We start from the raw sequence: 14,334 nt of genomic DNA on the forward strand, positions 1-14,334 counted from the left end.
CACAGGATGGGGGTGTGGCAGACCTGGGTGGCTTTGGGAAATGCAACATTTGGGCACAAAGCCAGAAGTGCCTGTCCTCACCTAGGTCCGTGGGCACAGGCCGGGGGTGGAGCTCTAGCCAGGGACCTGCCCTTCTCCTCACAATTCCCTGCCCCACTTCCCTGCCCCACTTCCCTATCACCATGTTGCAAATATACTGAAGGGGGCAAAGGGCAAAGGTGGGTGATCAATTTGAAAGCTACTGCAATAATCTAGGTGGGAGATAATGGTGGCTTGTATCAGGGTGGTGGCAGTGGATGTGCTAAAAAGTATCCAATTCAGGATATGTTTTCAAGGTAAAGCCAAGGGGATTGCTAACAACTTGGACTTGGGGTAACAGAAAAAGGAGTCCAGAATTTTCTCCCAAGATTTTCAGCTAAGTCAATTGGAGGAATGGAGGTGCCATTGTCTCTTACAGATTAGGAGACAATTAAAGGATATTAGAAATTCTGTTTTGGACCTAGGAAATGGGAGGCGCATATTAGACAGCAAGATTTTCTAATCTACAGTCCTTCTTTTCCCTACTTGGACTAAAACCCTATTCTGAATCTTAGCCCTGACCTAGTCCTGATCTAGCAGGCTAGATCCTGACTCCCAATCTACACTTATTGGCTAAGCTCCTACTCCACACACAAAAAGACCACCTCGAACCAAGATGCTGCCAACAACAACAGATTCACAGTACTATTGCCAGAACCCAGAAAGTCCTGTCACAACATCCTATCCACCAGACTTGATTCCCTTCAATACTAATTTTGTTTTTATTATTTTTTTAGGGACAGTCTCGTTTTGTTGCCCAGGCTCAAGCGATCCTCCTGCCTTGGCCTCCCAAAGTGCTAGGATTACAGGTGTGAGCCTCTTTTCCTGGGCTTTGATAATTCCCTGTAGACCAGATGATTTCCACTGCAGCCCTACAATGGGGTTATTATAAACTAATTCCTCCCAATTCTAGCCCTCACCTGTCTCACTAGTAGGTCTCACTGCTATGTATGTTTCATATTTGAACTTCTGCAAATTATGAGTTTAATCATGTTGAGGGAAAACATAGTGTATTATTAACTCTAAATCATCCTGAAGTTTTATATGCTTTGTTTACACAGATGCTTTTAAAAGATGAAGTGAAAGAGAAAAAAATATATAAATTGTCAAGTGGTTTTACTAGTCATACTTCTTTCCAGTAGACCGTTTGATCCTTCAAGCTTTGCATGACAAGACAATTTGTTGCAAAAACTGTCCTGTCAAATAATTCTAAAATGATTTGTCCTATCAGGTGAAATCCAAAATGATTTAGAATTCAGAAACATGAATGATTATTAAATGAATACTATAATGTCTATTAATCCCGGAACACCTCTAAAACCTTTCTAAGAATCGCCAAAACTCTTTTATGCTCTTATTTCCAAACCTGGGGTTCCAAGGTTTGAAAACAAAATGGCATGTATAAAAGCACTTTCAAAGTATATTACATACACAGCGTCAGGCCTCTGAGCCCAAGCTAAGCCATCATATCCCCAGTGACCTGCACGTATACATCCAGAAGGCCTGAAGATCCACAGAAGGGAAAACAGCTTAACTGATGACATTCCACCATTGTGATTTGTTTCTGCCCTATCCTAACTGATCAATGTTCTTTATAATCTCCCCCACCCTTAAGAAGTTTCTTTGTAATTCTCCCCACCCTTGAGAATGTACTTTGTGAGATCTACCCTCTGCCCCTAAAACATTGCTCTTAACTCCACCGCCTGTCCCAAAACCTATAAGAACTAATGATAATCCCACCACCTTTGCTGACTCTCTTTTGGGACTCAGCCCACCTGCACCCAGGTGAAATAAACAGCCTTGTTGCTCACACAAAGACTGTTTGGTGATCTCTTCACATGGATGAGTGAAACACACACTAATGAGAATCCCAAATTTCTGATGTATACAACAGAGTATTATACACACTTTTATACATGGAGGAGAGAGAATAGCGAACAGAAAGGCACCCCAAACCCTAATGCAAAGAGCAATAAAAAATTAGCCAGCCAGCAGCACATCAGGCTGCCGTATTGGCTGCCCTCAAAGTCGCAGGTTCTGTTCATTAATTTTTGTATCATATTTATTCAAGAATTGTACTGTTTAATTACTGAACAACCTGGGGAATAGCTCAAGAAACCATGAGTTACCCTTTCTGGGCTGCTGATGTTTTAGAAAACCTAGTTTTTTTAACATATGAATATTTTTCAGTTATTCATTTCATCATTATGATACCTGTATCTCCCATTTCAGTACTGATCGACTTTAGGGAGAAACTTTTGAAATAAGATGATATTACGAAACGTCCACGAAACAATTCTGTAACATCTGTGCAAAACTGTTTTTATAAGAAATCTCTAAAATTTAATGACATTTCCTGCACCTATAGTGAAGGCGGAAATACAAACAGTCCCTTCCACGAAAACGAGGTGCTATTACAATCACATTTCTCATCAGCCCTTTTCTTTTTTGCAAAAGTGTTTATCCTAGTGCTGCGGACTTACGACAAACGTCAACAGTTAATAAGATAACCAAAAACTGTGAAAATCAAACGTTCCTGGAATGCATCGGAGCTTCACACTTTAGTCCTTCGCTTGAGACTCAAAGGCCACATGGCCAGATAGGTCTTTCACCTCTGCAAACCGTTAAACATCCTTCCAGTAAGACATAATCGTTAAGCCCACGGTGTTAAAGAAACCCAGTGAGCTGTTCCCCGCAGGTCACCGCCTGCCTCCACCCTCCTCCCGCGCACTGAAGGCAAAACACTTAGACCGGAACGAGCGAGGCCAGAGGAGACAACAACTCCCAGCAGGCGTCGCGGCAGCGGGAAGTCACGCACGCGCAACCCAGGCCACAGGAGTAAAATCTCTCTGCCCGTCTTCTGGGAAGGGAGAATGGCGGCGCCCGGGCTGCGGCTGGGAGCGGGAAGACTCTTTGAAATGCCTGCGGTGCTAGAGCGACTGAGCCGCTATAATAGCACGTCCCAAGCTTTTGCTGAGGTGCTGCGGCTGCCGAAGCAGCAGCTGAGGAAGCTGCTGTACCCGCTGCAGGAAGTAGAGCGGTTCCTCGCCCCCTACGGGAGGCAAGACCTTCACCTGCGTATCTTTGACCCAAGCCCGGAGGACATAGCCAGGGCGGACAACATCTTCACGGCCACTGAACGGAACCGCATCGACTACGTCAGCTCCGCCGTCCGTATCGACCACGCCCCGGACCTTCCGCGGCCAGAGGTGAGAGGCGATTCTCACGGTTCACCTGCGCGCCGGCGTCACAGCGCTAACCGCTTCCCTGGCCGTCCGGCTCGCGGGTGATTTTGCGGTTGTATTTTCTAGCTTTATGTTGGCGCATATATTATTTTAACTCAATAGGCATATGTCGATGCTCCCTGTACGTGGGGATACCCGAGAAACCCATTGTTAAGTACAAAATGCAGTCAATACCCATAAACCCATGGTAAAGTCAAAAATCGTTAAGTCGACCCACTGTAAGCAGAGACTGCCTGTATACAGCTTAAATTATTTTGGAATGAATATAGAAGACTTCAAAATGCTTTAAAAGCTTTTCAAACCCAAATTAAGCATTCAAAAAATTAACTCTCCTTTTTTCTTCTATTTAACTTAAGTAGGGAAAACATGCCAGACAAATTAGACAGAATTTAGACAGTGAAGAATAGGAAACGAATAATAGTTTCACAAATGAGATGGTCCTTATCAATAAGTAACTTTCGCCTAATCTAAATTTCCTATCGTGCAAAAATAATAATCTCTAGATGGCAATAATGTGGAAAAATTTTTATAACAACGTTTATTAGTGAAATTTCATGAGTGAGCATTCTTGCATGTCCTACAATTTATTGATATTCTGTTCTAAGTCTGCTAAAAGGCATCTCAACTCTCCATATGTATTTACACTAAGTGCACCATTGCCCAGAGATATTTCGTCTAAATATATGTGGAACTATAGTCAGGATTCAAAGAGTACCTCAATTATTTAATGATTTTGAGACAGCCATTGCTTTTTTATTTAAGCTTCTAAATTACTGGACTTTTTTGTAATTCGTTTTTAAAATTCAGTTTTATCTACATATTAGCATTAGATTTGCTCTGGCAGAGCATTTAAAATTTTTGCAGGACTCAGATCAATTAATTTTGAAGAACTGACCAGAATTTTCCAGGATAGGATCCCTGGCCCCTGCCCACTAAATGTCCCCCAATTGTCTTGATAACCAAAAATGCCCTTAAAATCTCCAAAATGTCCCTCAAGGGGCAGTACGGCCGTCATTTAGAACAACTGATTGGCATTGTACCCCCTCCCCCAATACCATGTTCAAAAGCAGAGCCATGTGTATTAATGGTTATTATCGAGAATATTCTGTTGTTTTCCACACTACAGAGGAGACAAGCTTAATTGGAACAAGAGAGGTCAAGGGAAAAGAGTAAGTTTTTAAATTGCAGTGGTGTTACAGTATACCATGGGAGTGCTTGAGAAAATGTGCTTCCAAACATGTAGTTGTACTTTTCATCTAGTTCTGTTGAACTACATCTAGTTTTTACTCTAAAAAGCTTTGTAAATATGAAATGCTTAATAAAAGTTGCATATATTCTTGAGTAGCGTAGTGAAACTAAAAGCACAGATTCTAGATATACATGTCCTGAGTTCAAATCCCAACTCCTTCACTTTCTAGCTGTATAATTTTGGGTTAGTTGTGTTCTCTCATCCGTAAAATGGGGATAATATCACCTACCTCCTAGATGCTGTAAAAAATGAATAAGAAAATATATGCTGAATGCTTAAAATAGTACCTGGCACATTTAATTCATTCAATAAATATTAGCTGTGTTAGAATTTGAAGTTTTTTACATCTAATGCAGAATAGCATATACAGCTAGTACGTACTTATCTTGTTTTTTCTTGTATAAGGTGTGTTTTATAGGCAGAAGCAATGTTGGAAAATCATCTCTAATCAAGGCTTTATTTTCACTGGCCCCTGAGGTTGAAGTCAGAGTCTCCAAAAAACCAGTATGTTGAAGTTTTTAAATATGTTTGGACTATCTCTTGGATTAACTAACATGAATAATAAATGCTGGAAGGTATAAGAAATCATAATTACTAAGTTCCTAGAGAAGTGATTTCTTTCAAAAAAGTAATAAAGTAAGACATCCTAATGCCTGTGTATTCCTCTGAAGAAAAGGAAGTGTAGCTGGATTTATTTTAGTAGTCTAGACAATATCTTCAGAAAGTCTTTCTTTATCCAAATTTTGCAGAGTTGCCAAATAAAGTGTCTTATTGTCATTCTATATTTCCTCCTATAACAGTGATCATCTAGTTCTACACTGATTGTACGGTAAATGGCTTTTAGGTTTTTCTTGCTTTTTTCCTCCTATAATCTTTTTTAAGGTATAAAGTACGTGATTAGTTACACACACACATTCGGCATATTCTTATGTGCTTGTTTTCCTAGCCAGTCTGCTGTAATAGCTTTCTTTCATTTTCTAATTCCCTCTACTTTCTTCTCAACGACGCAGTCTCTGCCAATATCTAAGATACCCTTTCTTCAAAATCACCCCCACTTTGTCTCACCATATCTGGCCATGGTAAACCTTTCCACCAACCCTAATGTTCACTATCCCTGTGTATGTGCGTGCACGAACGCACACACACCCCTTTCATTGAGTTGGAACCCTTCCATGAGACTTCACTAGGTCTTTTCTTGCTCCTCACTTCATAAAATGATTCTCTGGCTCCATCGCTAATGATTCTTCCCATTACTTAACCCTCCCATCCTTACTCCTGCCCCGCCTCACCAAATAAATCAGCCAAATGATCACTTCTAAGTAGAGTGATCTCCTTCCTTTTGTGAGAGGACAATGGAGGAAATGTATTCTTGACATTCCCAATCTGTAATTCTAAAATCATTTTCCTGTAGACAAATAAACTGACTGGGAACTTAAAATCACCATTTATAAAAATCTTTCCTTTGATAATATTTGTTCTAAGATCCAAACAATTGACTTAACTTTAAAAATTGCCTATCTTGCCGGGCACAGTGGCTCATGCCTGTAATCCCAGCACTTTGGGGAGGCCGAGGCTGGCCAATCACCTGAGGTTGGGAGTTCGAGACCAGCCTGACCAACATGGAGAAACCCCATTTCCACTAAAAATACAAAATTAGCCAGGCGCGGTGGTGCATTCCTGTAATTCCAGCTAATCGGGAGGCTGAGGCAAGAGAATCGCTTGAACCCAGGAGGTGGAGGTTGCGGTGAGCTGAGATTGCACCATTGCACTCCAGCCTGGACAACAAGAGTGAAACTCTGTCTCAAAAAAAAAAAAAAAAAAGTTGCCTATCATAATCTTATCTTTTCTGATTAATATCTGTTCTATGGACACAAAACTGAGTAAACCACTTTTCATCATCTGTGCATCAATTTTAGTTGCACAAATGTTTTGTAATTATCATGTTGTATATGCAGTAAAAAATTGTTTAATAAAAGCACTAAAATCCACCTAATAAAACATGCAAAACATCTTGATTTTAGGGAAGCAATAGTCTAGGTATAAGAAACGATCAGAGTTTGGATCTAGGTTTTATGAAAATGTGTATGACTGATGGTAAACATTTTAACCTATCCTTGCCATAATTAGTTTCTCTTTAAAGTGGAGATACATTGTTCATCAGAGAATATTGACTGATGCAGTCACAATTTAGAACAGGGTGAATTTTTCACTAAGAGTGAATGCAATAGGAAAGACTCCAAAATATTTTGCCTACATGTTTCTAATATGGAATCTAAAGTTCTTCTTAAGTCATACAGATTCTTTTTTTAAAATGAAGCGAAAAGTAGTATGATCTAAACTTATCTCCAGCCATTTCCCTTCTGTCTTCTTTTCCTGTGTCATCATCAGCATAGTTAAGGTTATATACTTGGCTTTTAATAAATATTTGTTGATTAACTGGAAAACATTTTGAATCATTAACTAGATGGAGGACATATCTTAAGACAGCTTTTCTTTTTCTATTTACTTTATCAGGGACACACAAAGAAAATGAATTTTTTCAAAGTTGGAAAACATTTTACAGTGGTGGACATGCCAGGTTATGGCTTTAGAGCACCTGAAGATTTTGTTGACATGGTAGAGACCTATCTAAAAGAACGAAGGAAGTAAGGAAAAGATTTTCTTATAATAGTTATACATTTAACCCCAAAGCATGTTTTCATCAGTAGAGTATTATACACATGATTAACACTTCAGTTTTATCAAATGACTTATTTTATAAGGTCCATTTTATTCTCATAATATTCTATAATACAATATTTAGGACCAAGGTATATACTGCTTGCTTGTTTTCTGTCTGTGGTTTAGCTTACCCTTAATATTAAATTTAAGTGTTTTCCCAAATTGAGATTGAGAGTAAAGTGTACTTCAGCATTTTTTTTTTCATTTTTTTTTTTGAGACAGTCTCGTTCTGTGACCCAGGCTGGAATGCAGTCATGCAATCTAGGATCACTGCAACCTTCTTCTCCAGAGTTCAAGTGATTCTCCCGCCTCAGCCTCCTGAGTAGCTGAGACTACAGGTGCACGCCACCATGCCCGGCTCATTTTTGTATTTTTAGTAGAGACAGGGTTTCACTGTGTTGGCCAGGCTGGTCTCGAACTCCTGACCTCAGGTGATCCACCCGCCTTGCCCTCCCAAAGTGTGAGATTACAGGCATGAACCACCGCACCTGGCCCATTAATTTTTTTTAAAACCAAACTCTTACCTGGCTAATTTTGAAAATGAAAATTGTTGGTTAAAATCAGTAAATTCTGATCATTCTTAAAATACTTCAGACATCACATTTGCTGCAAATGATATCTCTTTTTTGTCTCCTTATGTAATCAAGTGATAGTTCTAAGAATTGCACAATATATAGAAAATTGATGTTAATCTTTTGAAATGAAAAAAATGTATCTTGTTTGTTGTAGCTTTACATAAGGGGTAAAATCAAATATTTACATAAAATGCAAGATATAATGTGTCTGGTTTCTGTTATCTGTTAGTGTTAGGGTAATATTTAAAAATTCCCATATAGACCAGGCACGCCGGCTCACGCCTGTAATCTCAGCACTTTGGGAGGCCGAGGTCGGCGGATCACTTGAGGTCAGGAGTTCGAGACCAGCCTGGCAACATGGCAAAACCTCAACTCTACTAAAAATACAAAAAAAAAAAAATCAGCCAGGCATGGTGGCACATGCCTGTAATCCCAACTCCTCAGGAGACTGAGGCAGGACAATCACTCAAACCCAGGAGGCAGAGGTTAGTGAGCCAAGATTGTGCCACTGCATTCTACCCTGGGCAACAGAATGAGGCTCTGTCTAAAAAAACAAAAAAAAAAATTTATAACTTATGGTTAATTTTTTATAATTTATGGTTCCTATAATTTATAATCTGTAATTTATGGTTAATTTGATTTGTATCTCTTTCTCCTCCTCGAGTTTAAGCTTTTAGAGGAGGGAACTCACTCATTATATATCAAGTCCCAGGCAGAATGTCTTATATCCAATATATCCTTATTGATTTAAATTAATATTTAGTGAATTTAGTTATTGAAAGTAAATAGCATTGAGACCTACTGGACTGCAGGATAAACTTCTGGCAAATTGAGAATTCCTGTTGCCTAAAGAAATGTTTTAATTTTGGAATGAGAATTATTCAAAGAAGAATTTCTTAGTACAGTAAGGAAGAGGGGATAAATGAATGGGTATATTTTATATTGCCATTAATCTTCTTTTCTACATGCTTATAGCTTGAAGAGAACATTTTTATTAGTGGATAGCGTTGTTGGAATTCAAAAAACAGACAATATTGCCATAGAAATGTGTGAAGAATTTGCATTACCTTATGTGGTAAGTACTTCCTTTGAATCATGGTTGCAATTAGAAATATCAGTTCTACGTGCATCTGTGTGAACATGCACCTTTTAACAATTGAGCTTGTGTTGCCTCAAAAGATAAAGGAGAGTGCCTTTTGAATAATCTTTTCAATTAATCATCCATTAATATTAAAAGAAGTTCTATGGCACTTTTATTCTCTTTTCTGTCACTCAGCTATGTTTTGAAAATTATAGTCAAAGTAAAGGTTTCTTTAGGCTGTTCATTTAATGTTCCTAGATACTGTTCATATTTTTTTCTTTTTATGGCAACATAAACATTTGTTCAGAAAAAGTTAGTAGCTCTTTAACAGCAGCGTGGCAGATAGTACTTATAAGAATGTGAATAAAACTGCAACTTAAAAAGTTGCTTAACTAATTTAAAACTTTAAAATTGTTCCAGGAACATAGCAGCCTCCAGCACACACAAGTAGGATTTTTATATTTTTAAAGCAAACAAAATTTCTTCTGGGAATTTCTTACCAGTATTCTTGGTCTTTTGACCTAGACTAGAATACCAGAATTGTAGATTGGTATCCACATTAATTTTGCTTTGTGAGACTTCCAGAAAAAATGGCACTCTTAAAGTTTCTTTCCAAAGAAAAGTGAAGAACCCAATAACTAATTTGCTTTCAAAAAGATGTCAGCCACTAATATGTAACAGTGGAGTTTAGTACAAATCACACCAAATTACTAGTCAGCCACTTTTGTTTTATTCTTGGGGTCTTGGAATTCTTGGGGTCTGCAAAAGCCCTATGAAGCATTAGAGATGATTTATAGTTATGAGAAGTCAAAGGATTGATAGTCTGCCTAGTAAAAATGCCTAAATATTGCCAAACTAAATAATAGTATTCTTTATTTGGTATCGCAGATACTAGTTTATGAAATCATATATTTTCCTCAATTTTAACTGAAAGGAAATATTACTTTCTTCGTTGGAAAAGGAATTGGAATAGAAAAGTTATATCTGTATCTCCTTTTAAATATCAGAACATTTGCCTTTATGAGGAAAGACTCCCATTTGCGGAGGGGTTCACAAGTCATTAGAAACCACACACTTTCTGCTTCTCACTGTGGGAAAAACACTGGAACCATGTTTTTCCTCTGCTCTCATACCACAACAATTAACACAGAAGACTTCTGTGGCTAAATGTGTAGGGGTTTTTGTCTTCACCAACAACCAGTGGACACAATCCCACAGATTGAGGATTCAGTCCCCAAGACGACTCCTCCCACCCGGCTTCAGACACTAGTCACAATTTTGGGCCTCTAGAATATCTAGACTGGCTTCAAGTTGGGGTTCCAACTACCCCCTCTTTGGGTTTAATTGCTGGAGTGGCTCACAGAACTCAGGGAAACATGTTTTCTGATGGTATTATAAAGTATATTACAAAGGATATAATGAAGATGCACAGAACCTCCATGTCCTCCTTGGGCATGCCACCCTTTGGAAACCTACCTGTGTTCAGCTATTTGGAAGCTCTCCAAACCCAGTCTTCCTGGGCTTTTATGGAAGCTTCATAACATCAGCATCCCTTCCCCCAGGGTATGAGGTGGGACCCTCTCTGGAATGAGGGTCATATGACCACAATCAGAAAGGTGAGAGAAGATTACAAGTCTTGTCTTGGAGCAGGTGAATGGAAGGCAGGAGGTCAGAGAGATTTTGTTTCCTGATGCCTAACATATCCAACATTATAACAAATGATCGTAACAAGGGCTATGGGAGTTATGAGAAAGGAACCATGGACATAAACCAATATATGTATCATGACACCACACTCCTGCCATTAGCATCTTTTATGACTAAAAAGCATGATTTGCCAGGAAATTTAATTTTACAGAAACTCACCAGGAATATCTGGTGGATTAAGGTTTTATTTTTAATTGATTTTTGTAATAATCACCCATACTTTGACCTTTCTGCACTATGTTACTTGTCTCTGGACAAGTAGAATTCTGGACTTACTTGGAATATAACTAGTAGATAGAACCTACAAATAGCCTGATTTCTGATTTTTTTCTTTAGAGTATAGGTCAAAAAATGATTACAAATTGGCAATTTTGTATAGATAAACCCAATATTCATTTATATATCTTAAGCTATCAGGTATATTGTGATCATATGAACAATTGCAAATATAACTCCAGGACCCTTCTCATTGATCTTTCCAAGATATTGTGGCCCTATGTGGTTAAAGCACCATTAAGCAGCAGACATACAGTGTATACTTGATGTGTTTCACACATTTGCTCATTTAATCTTTTCAGCTACCCCTTTATGGGTCATTATTTTTATTTTATAGATGAGGAAATAGGTACAGAGATAAATTTGCACGGGTCACCTAGTTGTAAATGAAAAATTATAGCTAAAATGTGTAAAATTATTAAGAACCACTTTATTTCTAATGCATAAAAATTTGTTTTCTTATAGATTGTATTAACAAAAATTGACAAATCTTCCAAGGGACATCTTTTAAAACAAGTGCTTCAGATCCAGAAATTTGTTAACATGAAAACTCAAGGATGTTTTCCTCAGTTGTTTCCTGTAAGGTAAGAGTTGAATTGTTTTGTTTTTTGTTTTTTATGAAGTAATCTTGAGAATGTTGTGGGTTTTTTTTTTATTTCGATAGTTTTTGGGGAACAGGTTTTTGGTTGCATGGAAAAGTTCTTTAGTGGTTATTTATGAGATTTTAGTGCACCCATCACCTGAGCAGTGTACACTGTACCCTATGTGTAGTCTTTTTTCGCTCACCCCTCCCACCTTTCCCCATGAATCCCCAAAGTCCATTATATCATTCTTATGCATTTGTGTCCTCATAGCTTAGCTCCCACTTCTAAGTGAGAACATACAGTATTTGGCTTTTTATTCCTGAGTTACTTCACTTAGAATAATGGTCTCCACCTCCATCCAGGTTGCTTCACATGCCATTATTTTGTTCCATTTTATGGCTGAGTAGTATTACATGGTACATAAATACCACATTTTCTTTATCCACTTGTTAGTTGAATTGTTTTTATAACGTTATGTACTGAAAACCTGTAATATTATCAGTGTTTCTTAAAGTGTCACTTAAAACTAGAGACATTTGAAGGCCAGGTGCCATGGCTCATGCCTGTGATCCTAGCATTTTTGGGAGGCCGAGGTGGGCAGATCACCTGAGGTCGGGAGTCCAAAACCAGCCTGGTCAACATGGTGAAACCCCATCTCTAGAAAAATTAAAATAAAAAAAAAAATTAGCCAGATGTGGTGGCACATGCCTGTAATCCCAGCTGCTCGGGAGGCAGAGGTTGCAGTGAGCCAAGATCACGCCATTGCACTCCAGCCTGGGCGACAGAGTGAGACTCTGTCTCAAAAACCACCACCACCACCAAAAAAAACTGTAGTATATCCATACCTGAGAAACATTTTGGCTGATCTCCATACGGACGGACAGACGGACGCACAGATGGATATAGGAAGACAGATAGATAAATAATATGTACAATAATGGTGATGGTAATTTTTTTAAAACCTAAAAAGTCTAACAAGGTAATTGAATATTTATTACAAAAAGAACAAACTAAAGAGATCAAGACTTATTCTGGAAAACAAAGCAAAATAGAAGATATAGTGAAATTTTTGGAATCATGAAGGAAATGGATCAGATAATATTGATCATCAGATTTTAGAATACTACAAGACGCGGCTGGGGGAAGAGAAGAAAGCTAGAACACATTAAAAGATGTTCTGCTTTCATATATGAAATCATAAGAATTTGTAAATTTTTTTAAGTTGATGAATTCAGATGTTATATCTGAGGAAAGGAAGAAAATTATTTCTCTTTTCTTTTCACAGTGCTGTGACCTTTTCTGGAATCCACCTGTTGAGATGCTTTATAGCCAGTGTAACAGGAAGTCTTGACTAATGGTTCCCGGTTTAGCTGAAGATTCAAAAAAAAAAAAAAAAGCTTTATGCTAACTGGAGTTAAATACCTAGAAGAATTTCAACATTGTTTTAAATGTTGTGCATCTGTAACTTCAGGAGGATCACTTGAGCTTTAAAACCTGTGCCTTCTCGAAACAAGAATTTGTGCCTGAGGTGAAAAAAGTTTGTAAGTTATTGAATTATGGTGTTCATTAGAACAGCTACTAGCTGATTCCCCTATTTTAACAAACTGACAAGAGCACATCCATAAAATGAAAACCTGTTACAACTATGTACAGAAGGGTTTGACGTTTTATTGGGCTTTTGTCTTTTAAAGAATATGTCTACTATGGGTATTTTTTTTTTAAATGTTAAAATGGGCTAGGTAAAAGGGGGCTGCTTTTCTGTTAAGCATCGATAGGTAAGTTGATGGATAAAAGTTACTATGTAAGCCTATTTTTTTGAGTCCTTATTTGAATATTGAAAACATTCTTGATAAAATGTGTTAGTCCATGTTGGAAACAACCGAAAGAACAGAATTCAAGTTCTAGTTCTGATGTTTATTATATATGTTGGATCTTGGGCAACTTACTTGATTTCTCGGAAATTCATTTGTTACTGTAAACGTGAAAGCTATTAAGATTCAAATGAATGGTTTTACAGCAGGTAACATGTGAGAAGACAGCTACATATTTGTAAAGCCAAACCAACAAAGAAATATAGCAAAATTCACAGGTAGATTTATTACAAGAAATGTCCTTTCATGGGGGAAGTAACATTTTCACTAGTGAAAAAGCAAAAAACAAAAATAGCTTTAAGTGAGAAAACTAATTTGTAAAGGGCAAGAGAAAAAAGCTGATGGGACAGTTTAGACTGCTACATTTAAGATTCAGAATGGAAAAATAAAGCCTTTGAACTAAAGTTAATAGAGAAGATTTTTGTGAAGGTGCCACTAACCTATTCATGTAAGTGGCTTAGGTTTTCAAAGTGAAGCTTAATATTAAAAGGTTATAGCTGTATTGCTGGATAACAAATTAAAGCTATAAACCAACTTCGTGGCTTTTCTTTAGAAAACAATCTGAATATATTGTCAGTTTTATAGTTGACAGAATTGGTCTAATCTAAGCAGGAATGTTTTCAGCCAAAAAAAAGATTTTTTAATATAGACATTCATAAAATATATAGTAACAAAAGAATTATCTTAGAAGTCATCTTTTTGTCTGCCAGTGTTACTTCACTGCTTTGATTTATCCTTGGTTCTCCTATAAGCAGAGCCTGAGCCAAAAGCTTACATATGTAAATTTGGGAAGTGATCCCAGGGAACAGTGGCAAAATGAAACAAGACAGACAAGCCTATTAACAACATATTCATTGAGTTAGCCAAAACATAGGCACTAGTGCTAGATCTTGAGGGAACTTGTGACAAGTCCTAGGAAATATGTGTTGTATAGTGACCAGGTCTAT

The 14,334-nt window shown here is 37.7% G+C and overlaps 1 protein-coding gene across 3 annotated transcripts, besides 3 other annotated features; it reads left to right on the forward strand.

Annotated features, from left to right (window-relative positions):
• Positions 2,478 to 3,105: an enhancer, noted in NCBI's record as "NANOG-H3K27ac-H3K4me1 hESC enhancer chr3:112709373-112710000 (GRCh37/hg19 assembly coordinates)". NCBI's record gives its function as "activates a minimal SCP1, AML or CMV promoter by ChIP-STARR-seq in primed H9 embryonic stem cells {active_cell/tissue: H9 hESC(primed)}" and the evidence as "EXISTENCE:reporter gene assay evidence [ECO:0000049][PMID:30033119]".
• Positions 2,478 to 3,193: a biological region, named in NCBI's record as "NANOG-H3K27ac-H3K4me1 hESC enhancer GRCh37_chr3:112709373-112710000".
• On the forward strand, positions 2,936 to 13,921 carry GTPBP8 (GTP binding protein 8). 3 transcript variants are annotated; one of them, NM_014170.4, is made up of 6 exons: positions 2,936 to 3,287; positions 4,978 to 5,076; positions 7,087 to 7,217; positions 8,844 to 8,943; positions 11,398 to 11,516; positions 12,802 to 13,921. In NM_014170.4, the coding sequence occupies exons 1-6, from the start codon at positions 2,952 to 2,954 to the stop codon at positions 12,869 to 12,871; spliced, it is 855 nt and encodes a 284-aa protein (NP_054889.2). In that variant the 5' UTR covers positions 2,936 to 2,951; the 3' UTR covers positions 12,872 to 13,921. The 3 variants fall into 3 exon arrangements, with proteins under 3 accessions (NP_054889.2, NP_612494.1, XP_047304002.1); NM_138485.2 differs by lacking the exon at positions 4,978 to 5,076; XM_047448046.1 differs by lacking the exons at positions 7,087 to 7,217; positions 11,398 to 11,516; positions 12,802 to 13,921 and having other exon boundaries at positions 8,844 to 8,886.
• Positions 2,984 to 3,193: an enhancer, noted in NCBI's record as "active region_20246". NCBI's record gives its function as "activates an Ori minimal core promoter by ATAC-STARR-seq in GM12878 lymphoblastoid cells {active_cell/tissue: GM12878}" and the evidence as "EXISTENCE:reporter gene assay evidence [ECO:0000049][PMID:35858748]".
• Positions 13,922 to 14,334: the final 413 nt, after the last annotated feature.

Source organism: Homo sapiens, chromosome 3, assembly GCF_000001405.40.
Source record: "Homo sapiens chromosome 3, GRCh38.p14 Primary Assembly".
Lineage (NCBI taxonomy): Eukaryota > Metazoa > Chordata > Mammalia > Primates > Hominidae > Homo > Homo sapiens.

Excerpts from the sequence above, each read along its gene's own strand:
- GTPBP8 (NM_014170.4), top strand. The coding sequence starts at position 2,952 with ATGGCGGCGCCCGGGCTGCGGCTGGGAGCGGGAAGACTCTTTGAAATG. Across the intron at positions 3,288-4,977 it reads CGGACCTTCCGCGGCCAGAG|GTGTGTTTTATAGGCAGAAG; the intron begins GTGAGAGGCGAT and ends TTCTTGTATAAG. Across the intron at positions 7,218-8,843 it reads TATCTAAAAGAACGAAGGAA|CTTGAAGAGAACATTTTTAT; the intron begins GTAAGGAAAAGA and ends ACATGCTTATAG.